The sequence below is a fragment of the Homo sapiens genome, chromosome 11 (genome assembly GCF_000001405.40).
Source record: "Homo sapiens chromosome 11, GRCh38.p14 Primary Assembly".
In the NCBI taxonomy this organism is placed as follows: domain Eukaryota; kingdom Metazoa; phylum Chordata; class Mammalia; order Primates; family Hominidae; genus Homo; species Homo sapiens.
In genome coordinates, this window is record NC_000011.10 from 2,294,791 (window position 1) to 2,318,273 (window position 23,483).

At 61.7% G+C, this 23,483-nt stretch overlaps 2 protein-coding genes and 1 long non-coding RNA gene across 26 annotated transcripts, besides 3 other annotated features; 1 reads left to right on the top strand and 2 right to left on the bottom strand.

The window, feature by feature from the left end:
• Window positions 1-837: 837 nt before the first annotated feature.
• C11orf21 (chromosome 11 open reading frame 21) lies at window positions 838-8,350 on the bottom strand. 3 transcript variants are annotated; one of them, NM_001142946.3, is made up of 5 exons: window positions 6,966-7,128; window positions 5,894-5,978; window positions 5,730-5,823; window positions 4,638-4,917; window positions 838-3,131 (listed from the first exon to the last, which is right to left on the bottom strand). In NM_001142946.3, exons 1-4 carry the CDS (start codon window positions 7,069-7,071, stop codon window positions 4,666-4,668), a joined length of 537 nt encoding a protein of 178 aa, NP_001136418.1. In that variant the 5' UTR covers window positions 7,072-7,128; the 3' UTR covers window positions 838-3,131; window positions 4,638-4,665. The 3 variants fall into 3 exon arrangements, 2 of the variants coding, with proteins under 2 accessions (NP_001136418.1, NP_001316887.1); NM_001329958.2 differs by lacking the exon at window positions 5,894-5,978; NR_138249.2 differs by lacking the exons at window positions 5,730-5,823; window positions 5,894-5,978; window positions 6,966-7,128 and adding an exon at window positions 8,092-8,350.
• Window positions 4,469-4,763: a silencer, noted in NCBI's record as "tiled region #3604; K562 Repressive non-DNase unmatched - State 8:EnhW". NCBI's record gives its function as "represses a minimal TATA promoter and a strong SV40 promoter by Sharpr-MPRA in K562 cells {active_cell/tissue: K562}" and the evidence as "EXISTENCE:reporter gene assay evidence [ECO:0000049][PMID:27701403]".
• On the top strand, window positions 7,223-23,414 carry TSPAN32 (tetraspanin 32). 22 transcript variants are annotated; one of them, NM_139022.3, is made up of 10 exons: window positions 7,223-7,425; window positions 8,054-8,168; window positions 9,317-9,414; window positions 13,946-14,020; window positions 18,864-18,965; window positions 19,695-19,781; window positions 21,439-21,522; window positions 21,786-21,877; window positions 22,554-22,735; window positions 23,073-23,414. In NM_139022.3, exons 1-10 carry the CDS (start codon window positions 7,360-7,362, stop codon window positions 23,132-23,134), a joined length of 963 nt encoding a protein of 320 aa, NP_620591.3. In that variant the 5' UTR covers window positions 7,223-7,359; the 3' UTR covers window positions 23,135-23,414. The 22 variants fall into 22 exon arrangements, 20 of the variants coding, with proteins under 20 accessions (NP_620591.3, XP_011518124.1, XP_011518120.4 ...); XM_011519822.2 differs by lacking the exon at window positions 22,554-22,735; XM_011519818.4 differs by lacking the exon at window positions 13,946-14,020.
• Window positions 11,127-11,794: an enhancer, noted in NCBI's record as "H3K4me1 hESC enhancer chr11:2327147-2327814 (GRCh37/hg19 assembly coordinates)". NCBI's record gives its function as "activates a minimal SCP1, AML or CMV promoter by ChIP-STARR-seq in primed H9 embryonic stem cells {active_cell/tissue: H9 hESC(primed)}" and the evidence as "EXISTENCE:reporter gene assay evidence [ECO:0000049][PMID:30033119]".
• LOC124902612 (uncharacterized) lies at window positions 17,675-19,697 on the bottom strand. The gene is made up of 2 exons (XR_007062552.1): window positions 19,600-19,697; window positions 17,675-19,013 (listed from the first exon to the last, which is right to left on the bottom strand). It is a non-coding gene; the product is annotated as an uncharacterized LOC124902612 (long non-coding RNA).
• Window positions 17,768-18,373: an enhancer, noted in NCBI's record as "H3K4me1 hESC enhancer chr11:2333788-2334393 (GRCh37/hg19 assembly coordinates)". NCBI's record gives its function as "activates a minimal SCP1, AML or CMV promoter by ChIP-STARR-seq in primed H9 embryonic stem cells {active_cell/tissue: H9 hESC(primed)}" and the evidence as "EXISTENCE:reporter gene assay evidence [ECO:0000049][PMID:30033119]".
• Window positions 23,415-23,483: the final 69 nt, after the last annotated feature.

Below are 23,483 nucleotides of genomic sequence, written 5' to 3' on the forward strand. Positions count from 1 at the left end.
TCTGCCCTTTCAGAGACCTCTAACCACACAACACTTCCCCACACCTCCTGCTACCGTTTTCCCAAATGTGTTCCTTTCAAGTCCCTGACCATCCATCTGGCCAAGCCAGGAGCAACTGACCATGAGTGGGTGGCACCTGTAGCTCCGAACTCTCCTTCCAGGAAAAATGAAAACACCTAGGGGCCCTGCCCAGAGTATGGACCACGGGTGTTGGAACCACTTTTTCATGTAACTTGCTTGTGACTTCAGGGCCTGCCTGAGCCCCGGGTTGTATATTGCTGCTTCCACTTGAAGACAGAACACAGCTGTGCATGCCCAACTCTGTGGCTCGCTGGGTCCAGCAACATCCCACTCATGACGTACAGTTCAGATCACGTGGCGACTTAGTGGCCTGTCCAGTCTCTATGGAGGCCTGGACGCAATCCACAGAGTTATCCAGAGAGGATGGCAGAGCTTGACTCCAAAATCCTAAGGGCCCTGGGCTGTGATTCACCTGCAGGAGCCTATCATGGCCCCCACGCAGCATCCTTACCTGCCACAGACACCTCAAATGCCATGGGATCTGTTGGTCCCGTGGCTCAAGTGGCTCAGCAGCTTTCATGACCACATGCACTTGCTGCAGAGCCTTCTCTTGTTCTGGGACTCCCAGAAAGCAGACAGCATTTTAGGTCATTCCTACATGGGTTTTCCTACCCATGTCTTCCTACCTACCCGTGGGTCATATGGCCCATGTTGCAAAACATTTTGGAAAAGGCAAAACTATGCAGACAATGAAATGATCAGTGGTTTCCAGGAGTCAGTGGGGAGGGAGGGAAGAATAAATGGAGCACAGACGGATTTTAGGGCAGTAAAATAATTCTGTGTGACACTGTAATAGTGGAGATATGCCATTACACATTTGCCCGAACTCACAGCATGTACAACAAGAAGAGTGAACCCTCATGTAACCTGATCAATGACTAGGTCAATATTGGTTCATCAATTGCAAAGATGTATCACAGTAATTCAAGATATGAATAATAAGGGAAACTGTGTGTAGGGAGAGATGCTATATGAGGACTCTCAAATATGCTCAATTTCTCTGTAAACATGAAACTGCTCTAAAAAATAAAATCTATATTAAAAATTAAAGCTTTCACCAGATCAATGGCTGTAGACCAGGTGTCCGGGGATGCTTTGATTTGCCCCAGTGATCAGTAGTCATATCTGGAACAGCAGTTGCAATTGGAGTCCTGGTTAAGTTTACCAGGATTCACTGTCCTTCTTTCTCCGGGACCCCCCTGTCTTCCACACAAGCCAATTAGACGAGTGGAACGAGGCTGCAGTGGGGGTCACCACCCTGCATCTTCCAAGTCCTCGATGGCGGCACTGACCTTTGCAGTCCCTCCAGGGCTGCAGGTTGCTTTTGACTGACAATTTTCCTAGGCAGAGTTCACCCCAATGGCTTCCACCTGGCCTTTCCCAGCATAGTAGCCCCCACCCTCAGGTCAGGGAACAAATGTGGGGGCTCTGCTGGCTGCCACATACGTCTGTTTACTCACCCATCTGAGGCTAGGGAAGTGACCTCTGCACCCACCGAGGGTTGGACCTGAGCTAGAACTCCGTGAGCCCACTGACCTCCATACGCCCCTCCTCTGACTATTAGATCCGATGGGTGTTTGTGTCCCCAGGAGTGGGTGTCAGGTTAGAGTTAGAGTCCAGTAATCCCCCTGAGTCTGATGATCCCCCTTTCCACTAGCCACCCCAGCAAATGGCTGCAGGTCCCTGAGGGGAGACTGGGGAAAGAAGAATAATGTAAATTTGTAGGAGTATGGCAAGGTCCTTCCTCAGGGGCACCCAGTCCTCCTTCACTCAGGCACCAGGCAAGGGAGGCCACCCATTGCTCCAGCTCCCGTGGCACCGTGAGCCACCGGCCAAGGCCACAGGGCTCCATGGGCTGGACTGTTCCAATCACTGCCGGTGCCAGTTGCCATCTCAGCCACAGGCCCGGGGCCTCGTGGCCACCCCCACTGGGCTGTGCCCTGCCTCCTTAAAGACTGTGAGCGAGCTCCCAACTGGGACACCCCTGACCAGCTCACTCTTATTTTGTCTGCCCTGGCCCTGATGCTGGTGTTTGAGATATCAGAACTCACCTCAAACCACCCTAAGCAGAGATCACTCCGGCTGACGCAGGGGTGCGGCCCACATGTGAGGGACCCTCAGGCTGGGCAGCATTGGCTGAGCCCCCACCGCACCTTCCCTCCCACCCTGGGGTCCTCAGCCTCCGCCCAAGGCAGGGGGGACACTGCTGGCAACTGGTCACCCAGAGAGCATGGGCTGCAGGGATGGCCCTGAGTAGGACACACAGCTCCCGAGACCCCTCACTGGGGACACAGGGGGGCCCTGCAGCCAGGGTGTCAGTGTGGGGACAGCCCAGCAGACCCCAAGCCACCCACTGAGGTTGCTTCTCAGGGGAGCACCACTGGTGGGCTGTCAGCTCCTGCCTGGGCCCCGGCCTCTTGCCCCTGTCCCACCTCCCACCTGCACGGCCTCCAGCATTGCCCAAATTCACTGCCTTCACTCCCAAGTCCACAGAGGTGTCTCATCCAGGCGGGTGAACACTCGTGTGTTGGGAGGCTGGTGAAGCCTGGCATTGGGGGGCACCACCCATCTCCCTTCTTTGTCTCACTGCCTTGAAACACCCCACATCTATCACCTCTGCCCCCGAGGCTCCCCAGGTTCACCCCATGCCAGCCTCAGCCCAACAAGGCCTGTGCTTCTGACCAGCACCGCTGGGGTTCTCAGGGCATCTACCCTTTCCGCTGTAGCCCACTGTCTCTAAACATATTTCACACGTTGCTGGGGGCAGTGTGTGTGACTCACTGCTTCCCAGAGCCAGCCCAGAGCTGTTTAGTAGACATGAGGTGAGTGAATGAATGAATGAATGAATGAGTGCTGGGAGCTGTCTCAGTTAGCTCCAATCTGCCATAAGGAAGCACTGCAGGCTGGGCATGTAAACAGCAGGTGCTTATTTCTTGCAGTTCTGGAGGCTGGAAGTCCAATATCAAGGTGCTGCTGATTCCAGTCTTGGTGAGGGCTCTCTTCCTGGCTTACAGATGGCTGCCTTCTCTCTGTGTCTTCATACAGCTGTCCTTCAGTGCATGTAAGGAGAGAGAGAGAGAAGAGGGAGCTCCTAAATGTCTCTTGGTATAAGGGCACTAATCCTATGGGACCAGGGACCTTCATGTCCTCATCTGTCCCTAATTACCTCCCAGAGATCCACTTCCTAACACTATCTCATTGCGGGGCAGGGCTTCAACCTATGAATTTTGCAGGAACACGATTCTGTCCATAGCGAACACTGACACTGAACCCGCCTCCTAAAGCCTTCTCTCACCATATTCCTCATGCTGCTCAAAGATCCTCTGCAACCTTGTGCCCCTCCCAAGGGTCCCTGCACCTGTCCCAGAGAGAGGGCAGCCTGGCAATGGGCCTGGGCCCTGACGCTTGAGCATCGGGGTCTGGCCTGAAAGGGGATGGGCGTTCACTTCTAGGTTCCTGAGAGAGGCAACACTGCACCTTTAAAGGTGTCAGGAGCTCACTGCCCCAGCTGGTCATGAAACAGTCTCTTCATCAAGGGCTAAATAAAGCACGCTGACCACCAGGAATGGGGCAGGAAGCTTCTGCCCTGCAGCCTGCCTTGTCTGCACAGGGAGTGTGGGGACCATTAGGGGGAGGGTCCGATGTGCATTTTTCTGCCAGCGGGACCTTCCCCTGCCCCCAGTCCTGCCCAGGCCCGGGGGGTCACTCTGAAGGCATCTGGCTCTTACCCCAGGCATCTCCTGCCTCTGCCCCACTCCTCCACCCCCACGGGGTGCCGAGTCTCAGCCCAGGCTGGGGTGGCCCAGGCAGGACAGCAGGCTTGGTGGTGCCCGGCCCCACATACTAGTGGGTGGCACAGCGTGGATGTGGATAGAGACGCCTCCCCTACAGTCTGTCCCTGGTATCTGTGACGCAGGTGTGGGGTCCCTTTAGACTCCCCTGGGAGACAGCTGTGTCTATGAAGGGGCAGCCATCCCTGGGTCCCCTCTGCCCTCACTGAGGGCAGAGCCTAGGCTCCTTGGGGGGGGAAGCAGGGTGCCCCTCAGTGCCCACTGGAGTTGGCCAGCGGAGGCAGCAGCCCACGGCACTGAGAGGGAAGGCCCGGGCAGCCATGCCCCAGAAACTCCCTTGGTTGGGAGCAGAGCAGTGCCCAGAGCCCAGAACCCAGTTTGAGTATGGTCTTGGCTCTCAAGGGACAGGCCAGGGTGCCTCCAGGGGAAGGGGGCTGCCCAGGCAGTAGGGGTTCAAAGGTCCCCTGGGGCCCACCCAGCTGACCCAGGCCTAGGGTAATCCAGAAGGGGAGCTGCCCTCCTCCTCCCTGGGCTCAGGAGAGGCTGCAAAGGCAGCTCCTGGGACGTGGATTTCAGAATCAGGGCAAAGGACAGACATGAGCCAGATTCAGGTGCCCGCGTGGCCCCCACAGGTCTCTTCAAGCTCCAGGCCCCACTCGCTGTGACGCAGGTGGGAAGCTCTTGAGTGCCTCCCCGGTGGGAGGGGCCGCGCTCACAGACAGCACAGGGGCCCCCAGGCTCCAGCCTCAGAGCCCGGCTGCTCACCTCTGATGGACAGAAAAGGGTCCCTGTCTCAGGAAGGTAGAGGCTGCCACCTCCTGGCCCGAGGACACAGCTTTCCAGAGGAGGGGCCTGCTTCTAAGTCCAAGTCCCATCCCAGCCGGATAGCCAGGGGCAACTGCCCAGGTAAACTGAGACAGCAGCAGCAGGCAAGCCAGTGCAGAGCTGGGTGATCCACAGGTTCATGAGCGGTGGCAGGTGGAACAAGGGCACCATGGGCGGAGGGTTGGGCAGCTGCAGGTGGCATCATTGAGCCAGGGGCCTCCTGGTGGGTAAGGACATTGTAGAGTGAGCGGGCGCACCTGGGACCCAGGAATTCACAGGAAGGAGAGAGGAAAAAGGAAGTCCCTGGCGGGTAAACACATATGCATGCACACACATCCACGTCTGCACACGCATCCACGCCTGCACACGCATCCATGCCTGCACATGCATCCACGCCCAATCTCTTCCCTGGAAATAAAGCCAGGGGCCCTTAGGCCAGCTTGCAGTGGGGCCCAGCCCTTAGGACAGGCTCCTTGGTGGGGTAGGGGTGGGGGCAGCTGTCCTCCTGGGCCAGCTCCTTGGGGCTGAACCCGCTGCTCGAGGGGTCTTCCAGGCTCCCAGCGGCCGGCACCACCTCTAGAGCAGGTGGGCAGGGGTGTGTGGGGTGGGCAGGGGTTTGTGAGGGTGGGCAGGGGTGTGTGGGGTGGGCAGGGGTGTGTGGGGTGGGCAGGGGCATGTGGGGTGGGCAGGGGTGTGTGAGGTTGGGCAGGGGCGTGTGGGGTGGGCAGGGGTGTGTGAGGGTGGGCAGGGGTGTGTGGGGTGGGCAGGGGTGTGTAAGGTTGGGTAGGGGTGTGTGGGGTGGGCAGGGATGTGTGGGGTGGGCAGCGGTGTGCGGGGTGGGCAGGGGTGTGCGGGGTGGGCAGGAGGGTGTGGGGTGGGCAGCAGCCTGCACAGTGGCTTCCCCTCAACAAGCCACTTCCTCTTGCAGAGGGAATGTTGGGGTGGGAGGGTGTGGCTCAGCAAAGGGCGTGGGGGTTCCACCGGCTCCCTGCCCCCGCTGGTGGGGCACAGTGAGGGGGGCTGTGGTCAGACCTGGTCTCTGGAGGGCCAGCCGGGGGTTCCCGTCCACCTGTCAGGGGGTTCGACGCCACTTTGAGATGACAAGTGAGGCCACCTGGGCACAGCGCTGGTGTGAGAAGGAGGCCATCAGGACAGGTCAAGAACCCAGGCCCGCCCTGCTCCGAAATTCTTCAGACCTGATGAAGAGGTGTCCCAGAAGCGGGTGGTGCTCCAGGCCCGCCTCACCAGCTCCAGGGAGGTCAAGGTTGGAGAGAGACAATTCTAGGGGCGAACCAGACATAGCCAAGAGCAGCTCATCTTCCCTGGAGAGGACGGGCTGCCCACTTGCACAGCCCGGGGGCCTCCTGCCCCTAGACCTGGTACCTTCACTCTTGTTGCCACCCCTACATTCATACCTGCGCCCCAGTCTGAGCCACACCTAGGCCCCCAGCTGAAGTGACACTGTGGGTGCCAGGCATCTGAGGTCTCCACAAGCCCCCACAGACTCAGGGTGGGAATTCCTGGGGGCCAGAGCTGCAGAGGGTGCTGCCTGGGGGTGCTGGGCTGGACGGGGGTCCTGGTTGTCCCTCCTGGTTCTCCTGGTTCTCCCTCCGCAGAGGGAGGGAGGCGGTGGCCTCAGCAGTTCCTCCAGCAGCGTTCCTGAGCGGGCGGCAGCTGGGCCCTCTTCCCACAGCCACGCTGGGGTTGCCATGCCTGCAGGTCTTGGGGCCCCCTCCCCCTTGATGAGGTCCTGACCAAATGCAGGAGGAGCAATTCCAGCACCGAGGGGCGAGCAGAGCCGCCTGTTAGCACTCCTGGGAGGGCCCGGAGTGGTCCCTGAATGATGGATTCACCTGGAACATTTTCACCCTCTTCAGGCCCACCCTGCCCCAGAGGCCCACGGAAACCCTGCCTGTACTGGGGCCGCAGCGCTGCCCCCACCCATACGTAATTACACGGCTCGGTGTAATTGCAAATTCGAGGTTTACAAAGCCTCCCCCTGGAGGCCCCACGTGAGTGTGAGCGAGGCCCCAGCCCACCCCTGTGGCCCCAAGAAGGCTCTGCGACAAAATATCCATGAGTGCCGCCCACGAAGGCATTAAAACCAACGACCTTCTCAAAACTTAAGCTGTCACAGGACATTTCAAAGGGTGTTTCCTAAGAACACCTCAATAATGATGTTCCAAGGAGACCCCATCCAAATTCCTCCAAGGATTACGCCCCCAAGGCCCAGTCCACACTTGCTCACTCCCAGGACGGGGAGCTCACCTCCTCCTCCCCGGGCGCCGTCTCCTCCACATCCCACACCAGGTCCTGCCCATGACTTTCCCCCTCTCAGCGCCGTCCTCAGTGGCCACACCAAGAACGAGGCCATGTCTTCCTGGGAAGGGCCTCAGATGTCAGCAAATGCCCTGGTGTCTTGGGCTGGGCTGGGGGCACCAGGGTGAGGTGGTGGGGGGAGCCAACCTCACTGCCCCTCCCCTTCCTGCCTGCCCTTCTTCCGGGGCACCCAGCAGCTCGGTCCTAGGGCGATGTTGACAGACAGACAGAGGGGCGGATGCAGCCTACCTCCTGGGCAGTGAGCTGCGGTCTGAGGCCCCTGCCCAGCTGGAAACCACAGGGAGGGGAAGGGAGGGGAGGAGAGGAGAGGAGAGGAACCGTCATGGGGCCTTGGAGTCGAGTCAGGGTTGCCAAATGCCAGATGCTGGTCACCTGCTTCTTTATCTTGGTAACAGGCAGGTCGGGCAGGAGTGGGTGGTGGGTGGGGGTGAGCAGGGGTGAGGGGTGGCAGGGCCTCAGCACAGGGATTATCCCTCCCCTGACACACACACCAGCCCTACTGTCCCTGTCCTGCCCTTGCAGACATGTGTCCTGCCCTTGCAGACAGCCGCAGGCAGGCAGGGACCACCATGAGCAACCCCGTCTCTCCTCCTGAGGGGCAGCACAGAGCCTGGAGGAGGCCTGAGTGGGGCTGAGGCCTGGGGCGAGCTGGGGTGGAGGGGCACTGGCTGCCGGGCTCCAGGGATCTTCTCCCCTTCCTGCCCCGGAGGGTGCTGGCACAGGGGTGGGGCTCACTCCCACTCCGTAGACACAATGATCAGAGGTCCTGGGTGTCTGGGGAAGCTGGGCTGTGCGTGTATGCGTCTACCATGTGGGGGTGCCTGTGAGTGTGCTGGGGCGTCTGCAGTGAAGGCCTCCTGAGACCACTCCACGGAAACACCGGGAATCCCTGCAGCTGAGCCTGTCTCTCACGGGACCGGGAAGCTGGAGAGAGCCCCAACCCTGCCCGCTGGGGCCGAGCTCCCTGCTCCTGCAGCAGTCCCATGCCCCACACTCTGAGTCTGCCCTATCCACAGCTGCTGGGCCTCTCTGTGGCCACCATGGTGACTCTTACCTACTTCGGGGCCCACTTTGCTGTCATCCGCCGAGCGTCCCTGGAGAAGAACCCGTACCAGGCTGTGCACCAATGGGGTAAGTGAGGTCCAGGCCTGGCTGCATCGGGAGGGGCCTCGGGTGCAAGGGTGGCTGGCACGAGCCCAGCTGGACGCCTCACAGCCAGAATGGTGCCAGGCCCTAGGCAGGAGCCAGAGGTGGTCAGGGGCAGGGAGGGGCTGCCCTGGAGTCCTAGCTCCCCTGGGCAGGGCCTCGGGTCTGGGTGACAGCCAGTGTTCCTGCCTGGTTCTCGTGCCCCACAGGAGCGTGGGCACAGTGTGGGTATATGTCGGGCAGGGTCAGGAAGTGGCTCTGTGCGGTCAGGACCTGGCTCTGTGCAGTCAGGGCTCAGTCCCAGGCAGGCCTGGGACTGGCCTGGGGCTGGGCACAGCAGGTCCATGAGGGCTCCACATGGCTGATGTTCCACTCAGGACCTGGGATGTGGGTGGGGAGGGGGTGGGGGCTGCTCTAGCCAGACGCCTCCCTGCAGGGACTCAGCAGCGACTTATCCAACATCCAGAGAGCGGGAGCGAGGGCCAGAGCCTGCTGGGGCCACTCAGGGGTAAGGCTGAGGAAGGCCCCTTTAATGAGGGGATGTCAGAGCCAGATCTGCAGGGGACTCTCAGGCAGGAGCTCAGGGGGCCCAGGAAGGCTGCAGCCCGGTGGGCAGATGTAGGGAAACTGAGGCCCAGGAGGTCAGGGATACTGCCTTAGAACCCAATGCTTTTCCCCAAGTCCTAGGACCAGGGCCTCCCTGGAGGAGGACGCCTGGGGCCCAGGTCCAGGTCCGGACTGATAAGATTACAGCTCCAGTCCGGCCACTTGTCACTAGGACATGGCAGGAGGATGCCTGGGGCCCAGGTCCAGGTCCAGACTGATAAGATTACAGCTCCAGTCCGGCCACTTGTCACTAGGGCATGGCAGGGAGCATGTGGCTTCCAAGATAGCCCCACAGGCATGGAGGGCAGGGAGGAAAAGAGGGAAGGAGGGGCAGTCCCCCAGGCTGAACGAGTCCCACCTCCCTCCTCCTTCCCTCAGGGCCGTCTGATGGAGAGACAGGCCCATTCAGAGCCCCCCAGGAGTCCCTCACGGCCCCTGACTCCCAAGTTAGATTTCACACCCAGGCTGTGTGCACTCAGGACCTGTCCTGGGCACCCCTAACCCTCCTCCTCTCTCCTCCCAACCAGCCTTCTCTGCGGGGTTGAGCCTGGTGGGCCTCCTGACTCTGGGAGCCGTGCTGAGCGCTGCAGCCACCGTGAGGGAGGCCCAGGGCCTCATGGCAGGGGTGAGTTCATTGTGTTCCCAGATGCCCAGGCCCCCAGAAAAGAATTAGAAAGGAGTGAAGAGCTGGCAGGGCTGTGTGCCACCCCCACACCTGAGTGACCAGGCAGAACCAGAGGCCCCAGGGATGCTGGCCAGCCGAGACCCCCACGTCAACCCCACACCTGAGTATCTAGGCAGAAACAGAGGCCCCAGGGATGCTAGCCAGCCGAGACCCCCTACCTGGGTAGCCAAGGCCCCTCCACCAGGCCCTACCTCACCCTGTCATCTACACGCCCAACAAGGGTTCCTATAGGAGCTCTGAAAGAGAGAGACGGCCCTCCTGACCCTGGGAGCTGTTTCCAAAGTCCCTGGGAGGGTCTGGTTCTATTGCCCAGCAAGCTCTGGGAGGGCACTGGGAGCATCCCATTTCCTGTTCGGAGGAGGCCGGGCCAGGCTCAGGAAACGCCCCTTGAGCTCTCCAGCCTGGGCTCTCCGGAGCTGCACACTCTCCTTCCCAGCTGCCGGAGGTGTCTCCCCAGCCCCGAGGTCCCATAGGCCCCTCCACCCCACCCCATAGCAGTGGCCTCTTGTCACCCTCATTCCTACTCCTCCCCATGGGCTTCTGTCTTGGTCCCTGCCACTCGATGGTCATCGCAGACCCCACCTGGCGGCAGCCTCCCCACGCCTGTCCTGCCCCTGCTAGGCCCACAGCCCTCTTCTCTCACCCCAGCTGGGGCAGCTCCTCCCTGGCGCCCCGGGCTCCCACCTGTCCCTCTAGCCTCCCGTCTCCCCTTTCCAGCCATGAGGAGCTTGTGCTGGGGGCTTTGCTTCCCTGTTTAGCCTGTGAAGCTGGACCACTCTGGGGGTCCCTGAGGGCAGAGCCTCCTGGGTCCCCAGGGCTGGCAGGGTTTTCAGCTCAGCCTTCAAGTTCAGCAAATGCTTGTTTAATGACCCTGGTTTATAAATGTCTCCAAGAATAGGAATAGAGTCACCTCCTGGAGCTGCTGCCGGGCCAACCAGCCCTGGGTGGGCCCATGGTGGGCAGAGGAGGACCCAGCAGCTCCAGCACTAGCCAGGATTCCTGCTCCGGGGCACACGAGCATGGGCAGGGACAACCCCGGCCTGTGCTATCTGGCTTCAGGGCCAGGTGGGAGGCCCCAGTGGGGAGATGACAAGGCAGGTAGTCTGCCCCCCCCCCCAGAGGGTGTGTGGCCTGCAAAGGGACACCTGGATGGAAGAAAAGGTTGGCAACAGGGCCAGGCCAAGGGGTCCAGGTCAGAGCTGGAGGCCCAGAAAGAACCAGCGCTGGGGCTGCAGTACCGTCCACCAGGGGGTGCCATGGTGCTGGGCTTGAGGCCACATATGCAGAAGCCAGCCGCTGGGCCACGGGGCTCCTGTCCCAGTCACCAGCCTTTCCCACCCCACCTTGCCCCCGTGCACAAACCAGTCTAGCACCCTCATCTGTGGCCAAGGCGGTCAGGGAGCACCTGGGCTCAGGTTCTGTGTCCCCAGCCAGCCCCAAGGCCAGGGTGACTTGACATGTGGGTCAGGCCTGTAGAGCAGCCTTGGAGGCCCCCAACTGGATGCCTGCACTGGGCTGGGGTCCTGAGGACACTCCAGTCCCAGCTGGGTGGGCTCCAGCACAGCTCCCAAGCCCCAATGCACTTAGACCCAGCCTGGATGGTGAGCTCAGCATGGCCACAGCAGGGAGCTGGGAGACCCCAGTCAAGAGACCTGCTCCATTGAGCTGCATGCATGTGTGTGCATGAGGGTGAGCCTATGTGTATGCGTGTGCAAATATACATGTGTGTGTGCATGTGCATGAGTGTGTGTGTGCATGTGTGTGTGCGTGTGCAGGTGCCTCTGTGTGTGTGTGTGTGTGTGTGTGTAAGTATCTGTCACCGGTCTTCACCTGCCCCTGTTGCCATACGGGTGTGGTGTCTGCGTGTTGCATCTGGCACATCTGTATGTGTGTCTGCACGCATGAGCACAAGTGAAGGGGCTAGGGAAGGGGAGCAGGGAGTGGAAAGATTTTTTCCAATGGGCTGGGCGCCTGGATGCTCCCCACAAAGCCCCTTCCTGCCTGCCCCCACCCCTCCGGCCTCTCCCCTAGCTGGCCTCTCGCACAGGAAATGAAAGAGCTTGCTGGGCTGAGAGAGCAGAGCTGGCAGCGCCGCCCAAGGAAGCACATTCAATTCGCTTATGTATCTATTTATTTATTTCCATTTAGAATGAGGAGAAAGAAAATGGCCAGGGCAGACCTGACCACCCAGCAGCCTCTGATGGTGAAGGCCCTGGGGAGGTCTGGGTGGGCCCATCCACCACCCAAGATCCTCTCTGCGCGGGAGGTTGGTGGTGGGGGGAGAGAGAGAAAGAGAGAAAGAGAGAAAGAGAGAGAGAGGCCGTGGATGCTCTTTCTCCTGAGGAATGAAATGGTTTCTGGAAAATGCTGGTCTCCTGAGCTGGCTCAGGGCCTCAAGCCTGGGAGGCAGCATTGAGTGATAGCTTCCAGATGGGGATGGTGGCCCTCAGCCAGCAAGGAGGAGGAGGAGGAGGACGAAGAAGGAGGAGGGCAGAGGAGAAGGAGGGAGAAAGAGGGAGAGGGAAGAGGAGGAAAAGGAGGGAAAAGGGGGGAGAAGGGAGAGGGAGAGGGGGAGGGAGAGGGAGGGGGAGGGGGGAGAAGAAGGAGGGAGGGGGAGAAGGGAAGAGGAGGGAGAAGGAGGGAGGACAAGGGAGGAGGAGATGGAGGAGGGGGAAGGAGGAGAAGGAGGAGGGAGAAGGAGGAGGAAAGAGAAAAGAGGAAAGAAGGTGAGGAGAAGAAAGAGGGGGAGGGTGGAGGGAGGAGGAGGAAGAGGAGGAAGGAGGAGGAGAGAGAAGAGAGGAGGAGGAGGCAGCTCCCAGGCCATCCCCCATCAGGCCTTGCAGCCTCCAGGGCAGGCAGGAGGGCCATGAGGAGCCGCCAGCGCCCTGTCCCTGCAGGGCTGGAGGCCCCATGCTCACGCCTGTGCTTGGGGGCCAGCAGGGCTCCCCAGCTCTTTCCACGCCCCTCTGGCCCAGCTTCCCCTGGCATGCCAGCGTTGTCGCTGCCCACCTGCCAGCATGTGTGGGTCTCCGTCTATCCCACGGGCACCCATGCTCCTGGCATCACCCTGAATGGGGCCCCAGGGTTTGAAGGGCCCAGACCCAACCTGCTCCAGCCTGTGGACCACCCAGGCGGGCACAGTGCTGCCTGAGGGGGCTGGCGTTTCACCGGGGCCTCAGGACTCCTGGGGGAGCTGCCCGGTCGGTGGCTAGACTCACCGTCAGGTACTCCAGGTCCTCAGGGCACCAGCATGAAGGCAAAGGCGGCTGCCCAGACCCTGAGTGGGAGGACATCCCCAGGGTTCTTAGCCTGGGTGACCTCTGCCACCATCCATAAAACTGTATCGGGGGCATCTGTATGCTCTCAGAGGAGGGGTCTCTCGTGTTCCTTAGCTTCCGCAAGGGGGCTCTCAAAAGCCTGGAAGCCTTGACCGAGAGAACAACGGGCAAGTGCCGGGGGCGGGTGCGCAGACGTTTCCACCAGAGAACGCCCCACTCCACGACTAGGGGCACGGGCATCAGTGAGAGAGAGGGGACAGTGGTTGGCCGGGCCATGGAGACCCAGGCAGAGTATGGAGAGAAAGTGAGGTGAGGGAGGTGGGCTCAACTGCAAAGAGAGAGGCCACAGCATCCTGAGCAGGCACCACACCTGTCCCAAGCCTCACCAGCACTGGGCTAGCTGGTGCCTTGTTTCAGAAAAGAAGGCAAAACAGAAGATCCTACAGCCCCGGCCCTGGAGAGGCTCAGGCTCAGGGGAGACTCTGCCCGGCCCTGTCCAGGTCCATGCCCCTCAGGAAGCAGCCCCAGTGGGCAGAGGTCTCCATCTTCTCAGGGGTGCCCTGCCCCTGCTGGGCAGGGGTGCAGTGTTGCCATCAACAGGCCCCTGGGGGCCAAAATGGGAGAACAAGGGATGAATTCCCAAAAAGCGCAGGGGAAGGGGATGGGAAGGTGCTATGGAACCCACGCACCCAGCGCCCACGCTCTCCCCAGGCCAAGTCTCCCTCTCAGGCAGTGGGGAGCGGGACTCAGACCCACACCTCGACCAAGCATCCTGCTGGGGGCGCAGCCTGAGGGCACTGCCCTGCCCAGGCCTGCCAGGCCCCACCAGGCCCCGCAGTGACTGCCCCCACCCCCGCAGTGACCACCCCCCCACAGTGACCGGCCCCCCGCAGTGACCAGCCCCCCGCAATGACCAGCCCCCAACAGTGACCAGCCCCCCATAGTGACCGGCCCCCCACAGTGACCAGCCCCCCGCAATGACCAGCCCCCAACAGTGACCAGCCCCCCATAGTGACCGGCCCCCCGCAGTGACCAGCCCCCCGCAATGACCAGCCCCCAACAGTGACCAGCCCCCCATAGTGACCGGCCCCCCACAGTGACTGGCCCGCCCACAGTGACCGGCCCCCCCCAGCAGCGACCAGCCCCCCGCAGTGACCAGCCCTCAACAGTGACCAGCCCCGCTCTGCCCCCAGGGCTTCCTGTGCTTCTCCCTGGCGTTCTGCGCACAGGTGCAGGTGGTGTTCTGGAGACTCCACAGCCCCACCCAGGTGAGCACCAGCTGCCCCTACCCTGCAGTGGAGGGTCCCCCAGTAAGCCAGTGGGCACCTGGGGACTGGGGAGCAGTCCTGGGAGGAGCAGCCCCAGCTTCCAGGCTTGTGCTGACCGGGTGGGGTGGGGGAGACCGCAGCCTGGGTTCCCTCTGCCTGAGGCTTCAGGGAGGCCAAGCGCTGGAGGTGGGTGAGGGCCAGCAGCTCCCTGGTGGGGAGGGACCTATGCTGTACCCCTGCCTTCGCCCCAGTCTCATTTTCTTAAAGCCCCTCAGCCCACCCCCTCCTGAGCTGATGCCCCTCGGGTTTGAGGGAGGGAATGAGGAGGAAGAAGAAGGAAAGCCACTGGCTTGGCCTTAGGGGTTGACTAGAAGGAGCAGAGTGTTCCAGAAAATGAGACCTGAGGGCCAGCGCTCCTGATGGCCTGGTGGGGCAGACGGTACCAGTGGGGAAGGGACCTGGAGACCCGCGGACTGGGGTGTCGCAGCCTCCACCCCCTCCACGGAACAGCACCCATCCTTCCGTCCTGGATGCTGACCTGCCTGGAGGAGGGTCCGGCCTAGCTGACCGTGGGCAGGGGCCAAGGGCGTCCCCGTGGAAAGGCCAGCAGCTTGGAGAGGAAGGAGGCCTCCCTGGCCCAGCAGAGAATGAGAGCTCGGTAGCAGAGCCAGCCCCACCTTCCCCTTGAGAGCCAGACCTGGTGAGAGCCCCCAGGGCAGCCGGGCGGCACCAGGGACAGCCACGGGCAGGGTCATGGAGTGGGGCAGGAGAGCCTGGCAGGTCACAAGAGGTGATTTCTTGGAGCCCTAGCTGGAGTCCTAGTGGCCTCGTGTATTCAAGTGCCTGGTTGCCCAGGGCCCTCAAACACAGGCTTGGCCATGAGAGATACCGAGGCTGGTAGCAGGCAGGTCCTCTGGCTGAGCTCTGCAGGGGGCCTGCTGTGCAGTTTCTTGAGCTGTGCTGGCAGCCTGAGTGTGGTGGTCCCCACCGTGGTTTGCAAATGGGGGGACTCAGGCCCTCTGGGGGTGGGGGGAGCTCAAGGTTACCCTGGCAGTGCCGGGGCTGGATGGGGGCTCCAGGCTTACGACAAAGGCTCTTGGCCCCAAAGTGCCCACCCACCCCTGGCATCATTTGGGAGGAACCGCCTGAACCAGGTGGGAGAAACACCATTTTATCAGGCCCAGAAGGATCCCAGAGGGGCTGAGCCCCCAGAAGAGGGCTGTGGCTTTGAGGACTGGCACAGGAGTCTTACCAGGGTGGTGAGCTGGGCCAGGTCCGTGTTTCGGCCTCACGTTTCCTGTCCACTGAGGGGTGGTCTGGCTCATTTGAGGTCTGGGTCACAGTGTGGGTGGCCGAGGTCAAGACAGCTGCCAGGGTTCCCCGGGCTCGTCTGGGGCAGCTGCGGCCCATGCCCCATGCTTCTGTGTGTTTATGGCTCTGATCGTGGAGCCACAATTCTGGAGGGGAGGGGGCCATACAGGGGCCACAGGACAGAACGCAGCTGGGGCCTGCTCTCCAGGAAGGGAAGGGGGTGCAAGAAGATAGATGCCCCAGCCGGGCTCACCTATGGCCTGTCCCAGCCCCAGGCAGCATCCCCCACACACATGGTCCTTGTCTGGCCCGTGCGCCCAGCTGCCCTTCAGGGGTCAGTTCTCAGGGCCTTGCCTGACCCCAGGCAGGGGACTGGGGCTTCCTCCTGGGCCTCTGGTCCCCATCTGCCCCTCCCAGTGGGTCTTGACTTCTGGCATCATCTGTGTCAGGCCTGGTGGCCATGGAGGTGGCCTGGGTGAAGGAGCTCTGAATATGAAGTCAGTGTCCTTGGGCCGCCCTTGGGCAAGCCACTTTAACTTCCTGGGCCTCAGTTTCCTTTTCTGTGAAGGGAGCACCAAGATCCAGGGGCTGCATGGGTGGGAATGGCCAGGTGTGTGCAAAGACTCTTCCTCCTCACCTGCGTGCCTCCTGCCGTGCCCCGTTGCCCAGGCTGGTCCTCCAGGACGTGGGACTTGCTCGAAGCTGTCCTGGGTGTGGATGGAGTGGCTTTGGTGCCAGGGCCCGGGCCCTGAGCAGGAGGGGCGGCTGCACATCCCGTCTCCTGCCCTCCACCCTCAGGGCCCACCAGAGCCGAATGGGCTTCAACCTTGGGCTCCCTGTCCAACAAAGTCCTGCTGGCAGCCTAGACAGTGGCAAAGGCCAAAGGCCCCAAGCTGTTGGCACCGGAAACGTCGAGGTGAGAGCCGGGGGCCCAGAGCCCAGCCCGGCCCATTCACCCATTCCCCCTGTCCCTCCCCACAGGGCCACTGAGGTGTCCTGAACACAGGGTCAGGGTGACTCATGTGGTGCCCCTGCGGATGGGAAGGCAGAGGACAGAGGAGGGAAGGGACCAGCCACATGCCCTTGGTGGTGCCCTGTGGCCACAGACCCGGGCCCAGAGCTGAAAGTGGGGTGCCCCTCCACCTCCCCAACTCTTGCCCCAGGGAGTCCTGGCTGCCACTTCCCTGGGATGCTCATGCGGGCAGGAGGCGTGGACCGGGCTTCAGGGATGAATGTGGAGCTTGAGGGCTATTAATTACGTTCTCCTCGAGGGCTGAGAGCCACTTTGCCTTAACCCTCCCCCTGTGCCCTGACGAGTCTGCTTCGGGAATAATTCATGCTCAAATTAAGTACAGCAGTGTGGGGTGCAGCCTCGTCCTCACAGTCTGCCCCACCCTGGAGCCACTACCCTCCCTGGATCCTCCAGCCGCCGAGTGGGCTCAGGCCAGAGCCAGCTCTGTACCTGTGGGGCTGGTCCACAGGCCTCCTGCAGCTCCTGGTCCCCACCTGCCGTTCAGGACCTGTCTGTACCTTCCTGAGCACTTTCAGCAGACACAGGATGGGGTCGCCAAGCCCAGGCAGACACCAGGGAAGATCTGGTCATGGGGAAAAGCCCCCGGGCACCGGAAGACGGAGCTTAGTGCGTTGATACCTGTCAGGCAGCACCTTCCCCCAGGTGTCCTGAGAAACACAGGCCCCAGGCTCCTTCAGAGCCCCCAGAGCCTGGAATGGAGACAGACGGTGAAGCATCACCTAGGAGCCCAGGCCCCGTGGAGAGCAGCCGGCCCGGCCTCCAGGGCCCTCCAGGGCCAGACAACCGGCTTTGGGGTAGGAGGCCTACCTCGCTGAGCTCTGCTTCCCCAGTCGTGGGGAGAGCTGCTTGGCAGAGCCAGGCAGGGCAGGAAGAGCCAGGCAGGGCAGGCAGGGCAGGCAGGGCAGGCAGAGCCAGGCAGGGCAGGCAGAGCAGGCCCCTCAGCCACTAGCAGGAGTTGTCACTCTCGCCCATGCTGTGGTAATAATGACACCTTGCTCACAGCCTCAGAGGCACCTTTGTCCTCCTTGGGCCATGGCAGGCGCCTGACAATGGGAACAGTCATTGGAGTTGGGAGGGAAGCAGGAGGGGAGGTCCGAGCCAACCCCCGGGCCCACTCCGCTGGGCCTCCAGTCCTCACCAGGACCTCCACCCACGAGGACACAATGGCCAGGCCAGACTCCACCCCCATTTCACACTCACAGACGCTGAGGCTGAACAAGGCCCCCGCCCTGGCCGACAGTGGTGTGGCCAGCTTGGTGCCTGCCCGCCCCTGGGCACTGCGGGGAGGACAAGGCTGGCTGAGTCGGGGATGACTCACGGAGAGTGGTCTGACTTTTATTAGCATCAATGGGAGGGATGCATTAGGGTCAGGAGCCAAGTTTGGCCTGGAAAGTCCATCTGACTCCTGTTGGGGCCTCCAGGCTTGGGCAGGGCTGACCGAGAGCCTCCACTGCCCACTGCCCGCCCAGTTGGCCGCTGTCAGGGCCTGCCACGGGGGCTGGGCCCCAGTGCAATGAGGACCGCCGTAAGCCACCCTTCCTTTCTGGAGGGCAGGTGTGAGTGGCTAGAGCGGGCCTGGGGCTTCCATCCTCCCCCAGCCCTTTGGGGCAGCTGCTGAGCACCCCCTTCATGTGTCTTGACTGTCAGCATGGCATTTGGGGGAGAACTGAGGGCCTCTGAGGCAGGAAGGAGACATCAGAGGGCAGGGACCTCAAAGAGGGCCTCGCCCTGTGCCAGGAGACCAGCGACTCCTGGAGCAGTCACAGAAGCCTTCCTGTAGGAGGCGAGATTCCAGTTTGTCTTTGAAGGAGTAACTTGGCAGGGGAGAGCATCTTGCTTAGGAGGGTGGAGACATGAGGTCCAGGTGTTGGTGAGGTGTGGAGCGCAGGCAGCACATCCAGCCAGGCCCCGTCACCTTCCACCTTCTTCACCCCCTGCCCCACAGTGGCCTCGTCCACCCAGATCTGGCCTCAGGTGCCCAAGGCTTCTCTGGTCAAAAGCCTTACCCGGAGCCCAGCTGCCCGGGCTTCCAGAAGGCAGCCGGGTGATTCTTGGGAAAGATCTAGAATCCCCAAGCTTTCTGGGAGCTGAGGTCCTGGCACAGGGTCTCTCAAGCCTTTTCCACCAGGCCCAGCCCCATCCCCCATTTCCGGGTCAACAGTAGCGTGCTGGAAACTTCTGTGGGCCAACCTTGTAAGACCACAGCGGAGGCGGACGCAGAGCTTGGCCTCTGCTTTATCCTGCGGGACCCTCTGGGGGCAGGAGGGCCACTCTGACGGCCATTGTGTGAAGGCCCCATCGTTGATGTTGGGAAGCACTGTGACTGGCTGCCCAGGGACCCAGGTTCCGCTTTGGGGAGATCCACCTGCTACAAGGAGGGCAGTGCTGGGACGTCACTCAGCACTAAGGGCCCACTAGCGTTTGGGATGTCGTGGGGAGGGGGCTGTGTCCCCGGATCTCCCACCAGGGCCAGGACCTCCCTGTGGTCTCTCGGTGCAGGTGGAGGACGCCATGCTGGACACCTACGACCTGGTATATGAGCAGGCGATGAAAGGTACGTCCCACGTCCGGCGGCAGGAGCTGGCGGCCATCCAGGACGTGGTGAGCGTGGGGACGGCTGGGTGGCAGGGCGGTCAGCTTCTGCTTGGACTGCAGTTCAGAGAACAGGCGCAGGGTGGCCAGTGAGAGGTCTGGCCAGGCACCGAGGGGGTTCCAGGACACAGGCCAGAGTTGCCCCTCAGGGCTGGGGGCAAAAAGCTCCCACCCTCTGTCTGCCCAGGACAAGGCCGCCTACCAGATTCTCGAGGCCCAGTGCAAAACGAGAGGGCAGGGCCCTGTATTCAGAAACACTGAAGGATTTCAAGAGCATTAAAGCAAATACGGGGCCGAACATAGTGGCTCACACCTGTAATCCCAGCACTTTGGGAGGAGGTTGAGGCAGGTGAATTGCTTGAGCCCAGGAGTTCGAGACCAGCCTGAGCAACATAGGGAGACCTTGTCTCTACTTTAAAAAAAAAAAAAAAAGAAAAGAAAAAATAAAAGCACATACAGCGCACAGGCCCTGTGAACAGGGCGGGGAAGCTGCCTGGCTCCAGCAGGTGTTCTGTCACCAGCAGGCAGGCAGCGCAGCTTGAGAGAGCTCCCCTTACCAGGGCCCGGCTGTGCAATGGCTGGAGCCCCAGCAGAAGCAGCTGCAATACCAGTAGCCCCAGCCCTGGCCTGCAGGGAACCCCACCTGGATACTTGTGGTGCCTCAGTTTCCCCATATGTGCTGCCCGCCTCCTGGGGTCTCGGGAGCACATCACCACTCCCTCCCTTCTGTTCCTGTAGTTTCTGTGCTGTGGGAAGAAGTCTCCTTTCAGCCGTCTGGGGAGCACAGAGGCTGACCTGTGTCAGGGAGAGGAGGCGGCGAGAGAGGTGAGGGGGGGACCTGGATGCTGGCCAGGCAAGACCCTCGGGGGCTGGACACCCTGGGGCCCAACCCCAAGACCCAGGGCCATCCTCCCACCCCACCCCTTGGCCTCCCCAGACCCTTGGGAACTGCCGCTGAAGGGCTCAGGGAAGGTTCTGATGTGATCGGAGGCTAGTTAGGGTTCATGGTACGCCAAGCCCATTGGGTGGCCAGGCTGGGCTCAAGACATAAACACAGGCCCCTTTGCCCAGCTGGACGCAGGCCCCATGCGCCATTCACTCCTTCAAGCCAGTTCCAGCCTGGGGACTTCCCAAGGCCAGCTAAGTCCACAGAAGCCTCTTGGAGTGCACCCATGAGGGCTCTGTGCCAAGGGCTGCAGGGCTGGTGTGGTGGGCTCTGTCTAGGGGGAAGGGTGCAGGCGTCCTGGGGGGCATCAGAAGGAGTTGAAGGGCACTCAGAGGAGAAGAAGTAGGCCAGGGTGTGGCCAGGGCTTCAGCAACAACAGAGCGGGGCCCGAGGCCAGGAAGCCTTTCCTCCCCAGGGCCCTGGGAGAGACTGGGCCCTCCTCTCTTTCTCCTGGTGCCCGGCAGCCCTCCCCCAGCCCACCCTGCCCCCTCCCTGCTCCCCTCCCCGCTCCCCTCCCCTACTGTCCTGGAAACAAACCCACCCTATCTCACAGTGGGAGGCACCTGGCGACCCTCCAAGAAACAGAGGGGAGGAGAGCAAATGGCTGGAGGCCTGGTGAGGGGTGGAGCCACAGCCAAGGCTCTGAGGGCAGAAGGGCTGGCGCTGAGGATGGTGCTGGGGAGGGACCAGCGGCATTGGGGGCAGGGCTAACAGTCAGGACCCCTGTGCCACCCAAGGAGAGACTGAAAAGGCCCCCGACTGAAAAGCAGGAGCGAGGGCCTGCCTCGAGCACCCTTGGGATGGCAGGGCCATGGGCCCGACTGCAAAGCCTCCTGGGGAGCCGGAAGAGCCAGCACAGGCGGCAGGCACGGAGCCACCCAGATGGGCTGGCATGGGCGGGAGGGAGGCAGACCTGCCTGCGGGGGACAGGAGGGTGAGCCCTGAGACCCTGCGGAGGCCTCCACAGGCCGCCCCAGTTGCCATCATCTCCAGGGTTCAGAGACAGGCCTGCCACCTCCCTTTTCTGAAAAGATGCCTCTGGGTGCCATGCCCTGGGGTGGCACTGGAAGCCTGGGATGGAACCAGGAAGCTGGGACTGTGCGGGGACCCCCCTCACACCCCTCCACCAGCTGGCTTCCTGCCCTCCCTGTTAGCCATCACCCTCTGGTCACCAAGGTGCTGTGCCCGGCCCTGGGCTGGATGCTGGGAACCCAGAGTGAATTCGAAGTGGCCCGGCCCAGGGGAGCCAACGTGTGGCCCAACATGGACGCTCAGGACAGCTGGGAGACGGCACCGGCCGGGCCCAGGGCAGTGCCAGAGTGCCCACAGAGGCCAGCCCTGTCCCACTGGGCTTCACCTGCTCGTGCTGCCTTTCCCTAGAGCCCTGGGGGCTTCCTAGGAATGTGCCGCACCCGCCGCCCTGCTGCCCTGGCATTGGCCTAGGTGGGCGCTGCAGCTCCATGGCCCCACAGAGGCCGCTTGTCCAGGCAGGGAGGGCCGCTCAGGGCGGGTACCATGCCTGCTGCCCTCTCACAGGACTGCCTTCAGGGCATCCGGAGCTTCCTGAGGACACACCAGCAGGTCGCCTCCAGCCTGACCAGCATCGGCCTGGCCCTCACGGTACCCTCTCGCCTCCCTCACTGCCCCTTCCCACCTCCTGCCCCTCAGCCTGCCCAGCCCCCGACTCAGATGGAAGGGTGACCCGGGACAGGATCTCTGGTCTTGAGCCTCACTGGCTGCCAACCTCAGGGAGCTGCTCTGGTGTGACAGGGCCTGCCTCCTACAGCTGGGCCGCCCCCTTACACTGCAGAGTCCTGATGCTTCCTGGGGAGGGGCGCCCGCACCCTGGGGCAGTGGGGCAGCCGCGGGTGTCTCCCTCCCAGGTGTCCGCCTTGCTCTTCAGCTCCTTCCTGTGGTTTGCCATCCGCTGTGGCTGCAGCTTGGACCGCAAGGGCAAATACACCCTGACCCCACGGTAGGGCCCCCTGCCTGCCCCCACACCCTCTGGAAGGGTCCTCCAGCTCTGCTCGAGAGGCATCTGCTCTGCCAGCTGCTAGGAGGGAGCCCCGGGACCAAGCCCCAGGCTGACACTGTAGAGGAAACGCTTTGGGGGTGGCTGAGCACCAGGGTGGGGTGGGAGACCTGGAGAGTTTCCAGACCCAATGCACCGCACCCCATGGCCCACATGGGGACCCCCCTTTGCTTACCCCCAGGCCTTACCAAGACCTGGAGATGGATGCTTCTGGGCCTCCAGGTTATAGCCCCAGGCCAGGATCTCTGTGCTTGAATACCCCAGAGCTCCTCATGCTTAGGGGGCAGGGAGGGTCCAACCCACAGCCAGGCAGCTCTTCCTGCCCCCACGGAGCCTGGCCCGTCTCTGCCTGCCATGCCCATTAACCCACCCACTTGCTCTTCCTGGCCATCCAAGCCCTCATCCCTGGGTCCTCTGCATTCTACAATAGCCTCACAGTCCCGTCTAGAACATTCTGCAACAGCCTCACAGTCCCCCTAGAACATTCCACAGCAGCTCCATAATCCCCTCCAGAACATTCTGCAACAGCCCCATGATCCCCTCTAGAACATTCCACAATAGCCTCACAGGTCCCCTGTAGAACATTCCACCACAGCCCCATGATCCCCTTGCTCCTCAGAGCATGTGGCCGCCAGCCCCAGGAGCCCAGCCTCTTGAGATGCTCCCAGGGTGGACCCACACATTGTCTCCACTCCGAAGCAGTTGCTATTGGTCCAAGAGGATGCTCGGGTAGTCTTCGGTGGCTGCAGGAGAGCGATGCTGCGCCTCTGCCCCTCTCCTGCCACCTGGCTGCCCACAGAGGTGAAGACGCCCCTGCTGTCAGCCCTCATGGGATCCCTGAGGGGAGGGTCCGAGCTGTGAGGAGGGAAGGGAGTGAAGGCCCAGCCAGAGAGCCAGGCTCCATTGGGAACAGATGCAAGGGTAAGGGGTAGCTCACCAAATCCCTCCATGGGAACGGGCTGGGAGCAAGCACAAAGGAAACCACACTGGAGGCAGCAGCCCAGGGCAGACTGCAAGACACTGGTGGCCCACGGCCTGGAGGGCTCCACCCAGACACAAGCTGCACTGGTTTTCTATGCTGCGTAAGAAGCAGCATGGATGTAAGGACTGCAAGCAGTGCCCATTTATGATCTCGCAGCTCTCCAGGGCAGAAGTCGCGGTGGGCTCAGTGGGTGCCCTGAGCGGGGTCTCTCAGACTGACGTCAGGCCTTGGTGGGCTGCACTCTCACCTGGAGGCTCCGGGGAAGCATCTGCCTCCAGGACCATTCAGGCTGTTGACAAGTCAACTCCTCATGGCTGTAGGACTGAGGTTCCCAAGTCCTTGTCCCTGGTCCTGTGGTCCCTCCACCTTCAAACCAGCAATGGTGCATTGAGCAAATTGTGGTCAAATATACATCACATCAAATTTACCATCTTAACCATTGTTAAGTGTATGGTTTGTGGCATTAAATACATTCACATTGTTGTGCAACCATCACCACCATCTATCTCCAGAACTTTCCATCTTCTCAAGCTGAACCTCTGTCCCCAGTAAACACCAACTCCCATT